We start from the raw sequence: 8,682 nt of genomic DNA on the forward strand, positions 1-8,682 counted from the left end.
CCACCCTTCTTAAAAGCCTCCATCCATTGCATCAGAATTTTACATTTAACTTGATTGGTTTGTTCTGATAAAGGAGTATAAAAGCTTAGACATCAGGGATTTCATCCTACTTTCCCATTTGATAGCAAAATGAAACTAGTTGTAAGATATAATTTATCAATTTTGAATAATTTACTCAAGCAGGCTGCATTCTGGGGTTGAATTTTGTTTTATTATTATTTTTTGGGGGGAGGTCAAATTTTGATTTCCCATGACTATATCTAGACAAGAAGTGGATGAGAACCCATTAGCATTTTGGAAAGAATTTTGGAGGCTTATCAGAAATATACAGATGTAGGCCGGGCACAGAGGCTCACACCTGTAATCCCAGCACTTAGGGAGGTCAAGGCAGGTGGATTGCTTGAGGTCAGGAGTTCGAGACAAACCTGGCCAGCATGGTGAAACCCCGTCTCTACTAAAAATACAAAAAATTAGCTGGGCATGGTGGTGCACGCCTGCAGTCCTAGCTACTCAGGAGGCTGTGGCAGGAGAATCTCTTGAACCCAGAAGGCAGAGGTTGCAGTGAGCCGAGATCGCACCACTGCACTCCAGCCTGGGTGACAGAACGAGACTCTGTCTCAAAAAAAAAAAAAAAGAAAAAGAAAAAGAAAAGAAAGAAAGAAAAGAAAACAAATATACAGATGTAGATCCGACAGTCCTAAGAATTCCATGTTAATTAATGTGAACTATTTTGTAATACGCAGATGATATCTTGATAGCCAGTGAAATGGAGGGTAACTCCATCCTCCATGCCATCAAAGTCTTAAATTTCCTGGCAGATAAAGGGTACAAGGTTTCTAAGAAAGAGGCATAGATCTCTCATCCCACCATTCAGTACCTGGGATTCAAGGGACTCACAATCTTCTCCCAGATCACAGAGGCAATAAATCAGGTGGCAGTCTCCAGTATCCTTAAACAACTACGTGGTCCTTTAGGGATGCCTGGATTTTGTCAAATTTAGATCCCTAACTTCAGGTTAATAGCCAAACCTCTCTAGGAGACTTTAAAAGAAGAAGAAAGGGAACCCCTTTCTTGGAGTAGAGAATGCCAAAATGCCTTTCTAACCATTAAAGAGAAATTGATGACAGCCCCTGCCCTGAGTCTCCCTGACCTACACCAACCTTTTGATTTATTTGTTCAAGAAAAACAGGGAATTGGACTTGGAGAATTAACTCAAGACCTTGGGACCTTAAAATGTCCCATGGCCTACTTTATAAAACAGCTTGACAAGGTAACTAAGGGCTGGCCTACCTGCCTAAGGGCAGTGGCTGCCACCTGTGATATATTGCAGGAAGCTGAGAAGTTCACCTTTCAGCAGCCCATGAAGGTACATACTATGCATTATGTGTTTCCCCTGCCCAAGCAGAAGGGGGCTATTGTGGACTGCCAGGGCTGGAAAAGCACCAAACCATGCTTCTAGATAAACCAAATATAACTCTTAAAGTTATTTCTACTCCTAATCCTGCCACCCGGCTACCAAGGAACCTCCAGCCTCCTGTTGAGGATTGCATTCAAATAATTGATCAAGTTTACTCCAGCAGACTGGGCCCCACAGATTTGCCATTAACAGAACCCAACCAAGAATTCTTCACCGAGGGAAGCAATTTCATGGAACAAGGAGTCGGGAGGGCCAGCTGGGTTGAGGTTTAACTCAGCAGAACTGAAAAACCTGCCGAAGTTGTAAAGGCTCTAATGAAGGAAATAATTCCTCCATATGGATTCCCACAAACTCTCCATAGTGACAATGAAGCCACTTTTTTTTTTTTTTAACAGAGTTTCACTCTGTCATCCAGGCTGCACTGCAGTGCTGCAATCACAGCTCACTACAACCTCAACCTCCCCGGCTCAGGGGACCCTTCCACCTCAACCTCCCTAGTTGCTGGAACTACAGTCACGCACCACCACACCTGGATAATTTTTGTATTTTTTGTAGAGACAGGGTCTTGCCATGTTGCCCAGACTGGTCTCAAACTCCTGAGCTCAAACAATCCACCCGCCTTGGCCACCAAAAGTGCTGGGATTACAGGTGTGAGCCACCACACCCAGCATGAAGCCACTTTTCTTGTTGTTGTTGTTTTGAGACGGAGTCTCACTCTGTCACCCAGGCTGGAGTGCAATGGCGCAGTCTTGGCTCACTGCAACTTCCACCTCCTGGGTTCAAGCGATTCTCCCACCTCAGCCTCCCAAGTAGCTGGGACTACAGGTGCGTGACACCACACCTGGCTAATTTTTGTATTTTTAGCAGAGACAGGGTTTTACTAGGTTGGCCAGGCTTGTCTCAAACTCCTGACCTCATGATCACCCGCCTCGGCCTCCCAAAGTGCTGGGATTACAGGCGTGAGCCACTGCGCCCGGCCATGAAGCCGCTTTTATAGCCCAAATAACCCAGGAAGTATGGCAGCTTCTGAGTGTCAATTAGAAACTGCATTTGTCTTGGAGACCCCAATCTTCTGGAAAGACTGAAAGAATACATAAGACATCGAGGAGTTGCTTTCTAAAGTTCGCCACGAGACAAATCTTACCTGGGAAAAGGTCTTGCCCCTTGCCCTGCCATGACCAGTGGGATTTTTTTCTAGGGATTCAAGGCTGGTTCGATATTTTTAAATCAACCAATGTAATCTACCAGATTAATAGGCTAAAGAAGAAAAATTACATGATTATGTCAATTTATACAGAAAAAAATTTACAAAATTCAAAATCCAGTTATGATTTTTAAAAAATACTCTCAGAAAACTAGGAATAAGAGAATAATTTCCTCAATTTGATTTTTTAAAACCTGCAAAAAGCTTACAGCTAAAGGCCGGGCACAGTGGCTCACGCCTGTAATCCCAGCACTTTGGGAGGCCGAGGCGAGCAGATCACGAGGTCAGGAGTTTGAGACCAGCCTGACCAACATGGTGAAACCCCGTCTCTACTAAAAATACAAAAATTAGCCGGGCGTGGTGGCACACACCTGTAATCCCAGCTACTCAGGAGCCTGCGGCTGGAGAATCACTTGAACACGGGAGGCAGAGGTTGCAGTGAGCTGAGATCGTGCCACTGCACTATAGCCTGGGTGACAGAGCAAGACTCCATCTCAAAAAACAAACAAACAAAAAACAAACCTACAGCTAACATTACACTTAGTGGAAAAAGACCGAATGTTTTCCTCTAACATCAGGAACAAGGCAAAGATGTCCACTCTCAGGGTCGGGCGTGGTGGCTCACGCCTATAATCCCAGCGCTCTGGGAGGCTGAGGCGGGCGGATCATGAGGTCAGGAGATCGAGACCATCCTGGCTAACAGGGTGAAACTCCGTCTCTACTAAAAATACAAAAAATTAGCCGGGCGTGGCGGCAGGCGCCTGTAGTCCCAGCTACTCGGGAGGCTGAGGCAGGAGAATGGCATGAGCCCGGGAGGCAGAGCTTGCAGTAAGCCGAGATCACGCCACTGCACTCCAGCCTGGGCGACAGAGCAAGACACCGTCTCAAAAAAAAAAAAAAAAAAAAAAGAAAAGATGTCCACTCTCACCATTCTTATTCAACATAATATTGGGAATTCCAGCCAATGAAATAAGGCAAGAAAAGTAAGTAAAAAGTATACAGACTAGCAAGAAAGAAATAAAACTATTCATATTTACAGATAACATGATTATCTACGTAGAAAATACCAAGGAATCTACCAAAAAACAAAACCAAAACCAAAAGACTCCTAGAATGAATAAGTGGGTACAGTAAGGTCACAGAATACAGGATTAACATACAAAAAACAATTATATTTCTGTATACTAGCAATAAACAAGTGACCAGTAAAATTAAAAATATAAGACCATTTATAAACACTCCAAAATAATGAAATGCTTAGGTTTAAATCTAACAAAACATATACTGAAATAATATGCTGAAAATTATAAACTTATAAAAGAAACCAAAGAAGATGTCAAAAGAGAGATATATTGTGTTCATGAATTAGAAGACTCAAAAGATGCGAGTCTTCTCAAATTGATATTCAGATTTAATAAAATTTCTATCAAAATCCCAGCATGCTATTTTGTAGTAGATGTAGACAAGATTTCTATAACATTTGTATGGAAAGCAAAGGACCTATAATAGCTAAAACAATTTTGAAAAAGAAGGATAAAGTGGGAGAAATCAGTCTACCCAGTTTATAACTTCAAGATTTATATACAGCTATAGTGATCAAGACTATGCTGTATTGGAAGGAACGCATTCAAACCACAGCACCTGGTTGAGGGATAGACACATAGTTCAGTAAAATAGGATAAAGAACCCAGGAATAGTCCCACACAAATATGCCCAACTGATTTTCTTTTTTATTTTTGAGACAGGGTCTTGCTCTGTTGCCCAGACTGGAGTTGCAGTGGTGTAATCATGGCTCACTGCAGTCTCCTCTTCCTGGGCTCAAGTGTTCCTCCCATCTCTCAGTCTCCCAAGTAGCTGGGACTACAGGCACGTGCCACTGTGCCCAGCTAATTTTTATGGTTTTTTTGTTTTTGTTTTTTGTTTTGGTTTTGGTTTTGGTTTTTGTAGAGACGGGGTTTTGCCATGTTGCTCAGGCTGGTCTTGAACTCCTGGGCTCAAGAGACCTGCTTGCCTTGACCTCCCAAAGTGCTGGGATTACAGGCGTGAGCCACCATGCCTGGCCCAACTGATTTTTGTCAAAGGTGCAAAAGCAATTCAACAGAGGTGCTGTGGTTTGAATGTGTTCCTTCCAAAATCCAGGTATTAACATTTTATGGCCAAAGTGGTTGTATTAATAGGTGGGGCCTTTAAGAGGTGATTAGTTCATGAGGGCTCCTCTGGTGAATGGGATTAAGGCCTGTATAAAAGAATCTTCTCTTCATGCAGCATTCAGCTTGCTTGCCCTTCTGCCTTCCACCATGTGAGGATACAGTGTTCCTCCCCTCCGGAGGATGCAGCAACATAGCACCATCTTGGAAGCAGATGGCAGCCCTCACCAGACAACTAAACCTGCCAACACCTTGATCTTGGACTTCTCAGCCTCCAGAACTAAATAAAATTTAGCTTATGAGAAATAAAGTTCCATTCTTTATAAATTACCTAGTCTCCAGTATTTTTGTTATAGCATCACAAATTGACTAAAACAGGAGGAAAGATAGCCATTTCAATAAATGATGCTGGAATAACAGGACACCCATGGGCAAAAACATGAACCCCAACTTAAACCTCACACCTTAATACAAAATTAACTCAAAATAGATCACAAACTTAAATCTAAAACACATAATGATAGACTTTTAAAAAACACCATAGAAGAAAATCTCTGGGATCTAGGGCTAGGCAAAGAGTTTGCAGACTTAAGACCAAAAGCATGATCCATAAGAGAAAAAGTTGACAAAGTGATATATTAATTTCCTGTGGGAACTATAATAATTACTACAAAATTAGTGGTTTAAAACAACAGAAATATATTCTCTCACAGTTCCAGAAGCCAGGAGTCTGAAATCAATATTACTGGGCCCAAATCAAAATGTCAGTAGGTCTATACTGCCCTTGTCGGTTATAAGAAAGGATGCATTCCTTGCTTCTTCCAGTTTCTGGTGGCTACCAGAGTTCTATAGCTTGTGGTTATATCATTCCAATCTCTGCCTCCACAGTCACATTGCCTTTCCCTCTTCCATCGGGACTGAATCATCCTCTACCTCTCTCTTATAAGGATACTTGTGATTGCACTTAGGGCCCATCCCAATAATCCAAGATAACCTTTTCAATTCAAGATCTTTAACCTGCTGGGCATGGTGGTTCATGCCTGTAATCGCAGTACTTTGGGAGGCTGAGGCAGGAGGATCACTTGAGCCCAGGAGTTCGAGACCAGCCTGGGCAACATAGCAAGACCCAGTCTCTACAAAAAAATTTTAAAATTTTAGCCAGGCATGGTGGTGCCCACCTGTAGTCCCAACTACTCAGGAGGCTGGCGTGAGAGGAACGCATAAGCCTGAGGTTGAGGCTGCAGTGAGCTGCAGCTGCACCATTGCACTCCAGCCCGAGTGACAGAGTAAAACCCTATCAAAAAAAAAAAAAAAAACTTTAACGTAATCACATCTGCGATCACATCTGCAAAGTTCCTTTATCTGCCATAAAATGTAGCCTTTACATGTTCCAGGGATTAGGATGTATACATATTTTGAGGGGCCACTATTCAGCCTACCACAATTGGACTTGATCAAAATTTTAAATTTTTGCTCTGCAGAAGACCCAAGAGGATGAAAAGACAAGCTACAGAATAGAAAAGATTTTCAAACTTAGGTACCTGACAAAGGACTGGTTTCTGGAATGTATAAAGAACCCTCAAAACTCAACAAGTTTTTAAAAAATCCAATTAGAAAATGGGCAAAAGACATAAAGAGATATTTCACTGAAGAGGATATACAGATGGCAAAAAAGCATATAAAAATGTTCAACATCATTAGCTATGAGGAAAGTGCAAATTAAAACCATAATGATACATCAGTACACACCTATTAGAATTACTAAAATAAAAAAAAATAGTGACAATACCAAATGTTAGCCAGAAAATACAGGGAAACTCAATCATGCATACACTGCTGGCTAGAATGTAAAAGGGCATAGCCACTGGGGAACAGTTTGGCAGTTTCTGTAAAAACTAAACACGCAACTACCATTGGAACCATCAGTTGCACTTCTGGGCATTTATCCCAGAGAAATAAAAACTTATGTTCATACAAACACCTATAAACAAATGTTCATAGCAGCTTTATTCATAATAGCCCCAAATCGTAAACAACCCAGATGTCCTTCAACAAGTGGATGGTTAAACAAATTGTGCTATATCCATACACGGAACCACTATTCTGTAACAAAAAGAAACAAACTATTGATATTTGGATGACTCTGCAGAGAATTACACCAAGTGGTAAAAAGAATCCTTAAAGCTTACATATTATATGACTCTATTTACATAACGTTCTTGAATGACAAAATTACAGAAATGGAGAACAGATTGGTGGTTGCCAGAGGTTAAGGGGAGGGCGTGGTTGGGGAGCAAATGGGTGTGGTTAGGAAAGGAGAAAGAGGGATTCCTGTGCTGGTGAAAATGTTCTGGACCTTGGCTGTATTTTATTATTATTATTATTATTATTATTATTATTATTTTGAGACAGGGTCTCACTCTGCCATCCAGAGTAGAGTAGAGTGCAGTGAGCTGTGATTGCACCACTGCACTTGAACTCCTGGGCTCAGATGACCCACCTGCCTTGGCCTCTCAAAGTGCTGGGATCACAGGCATGAGCCACCTTGCCCAGCCTTGACTGTATTAATATCAATATTTTGCTGGTGCTATTGTATTAGAGTTTTGCAAGATGTTCCCATTGGAGGAAACTATCTACAATTATGTCAAATTTACAATTATCTCAAAGTCAAAAGTTTAATTGTTTAAAAAGATATACAAAATGCATGCCCAAATTTTATACTAGATTTCATAGGCATGAAATTCATCAAAACTTTAAAATTCTCTTCTTCAAAAGACACCGTTAAGAAAATGAAAAATTAAGCCAGACACTGGGGGAAAATACTTGCAATGCATATATCTAACAAAGGACTAGTATCCGTACTATATAAAGAGCTTTCACAATTCAATAAATGCAATTAAAACCACAGTGAGATATGACTTCACAACCATGAAAATGGCTAAAATGCAAAAGTCTGACAATAACAAGTGTTAGCAAAAATGTAGGGCAAGCGAACTGCCACATATGACTGTTAAGAATATAAAATGGTGGCTGGGTGCAGTGGCTCATGCCTGTAAATCCCAGCACTTTGGGAGGCCGAGGCAGGTGGATCACAAGGTCAGGAGATCGAAACCATCCTGGCTAACACGTTGAAACCCCGTCTCTACTAAAAAAAATCCAAAAAAAATTAGCCAGGCATGGTGGTGGGCACCTGTAGTCCCAGCTACTTGGGAAGCTGAGGCAGGACAATGGCATGAACCTGGGAGGCGGAGCTTGCAGTGAGCTGAGATCACACCACTGCAATCCAGCCTGGGTAACAGAGTGAGACTCCGTCTAAAAAAAAAACAAAAAAAGAATATAAAATGATACACATATTTTGGAAAACTGTGTAGCAGTCACACCTAGATAGCTACCCGAGAGAAATGAAAGCATGTATTGACACACAGACTTGTATAGGAATGCTTTTTCATAATGGCCCTAATCTGGAGACAACCCAAATGTTCACCAACAGAGAAATGGATAAACAAATTGTGGCATATATGAGCAATAGAATAAAAACAATAAACTATTGGCTGGGCGTGGTGGCTCACACCTGTAATCCCAGCAGTGTGGGAGGCCAAGGCAGGCAGATCACAAGGCCAAGAGATCGAGACCAGCCTGGCTAACATGGTGAAACCCCGTCTCTACTAAAAATACAAAAACTAGCTGGGCGTGGTGGTGCGCGCCTGTAGTCCCAGCTACTCTCGGGGCTGAGGCAGGGGAATTGCTTGAACCAGGGTGGCGGAGGTTGCAGTGAGCCGAGATCGCGCCACTGCACTCCAGCCTGGGCGACAGAGTGAGACTCCCTCAAAAAAAAAACAAAAACAAAAACAAAAGCAATAAACTATTGATACACACACAGACATGAATGAACCTCAAAACCAGCGTGGTGAGCA

The sequence above is a fragment of the Homo sapiens genome, chromosome 1 (genome assembly GCF_000001405.40).
Source record: "Homo sapiens chromosome 1, GRCh38.p14 Primary Assembly".
Taxonomy (NCBI): Eukaryota; Metazoa; Chordata; class Mammalia; order Primates; family Hominidae; genus Homo; species Homo sapiens.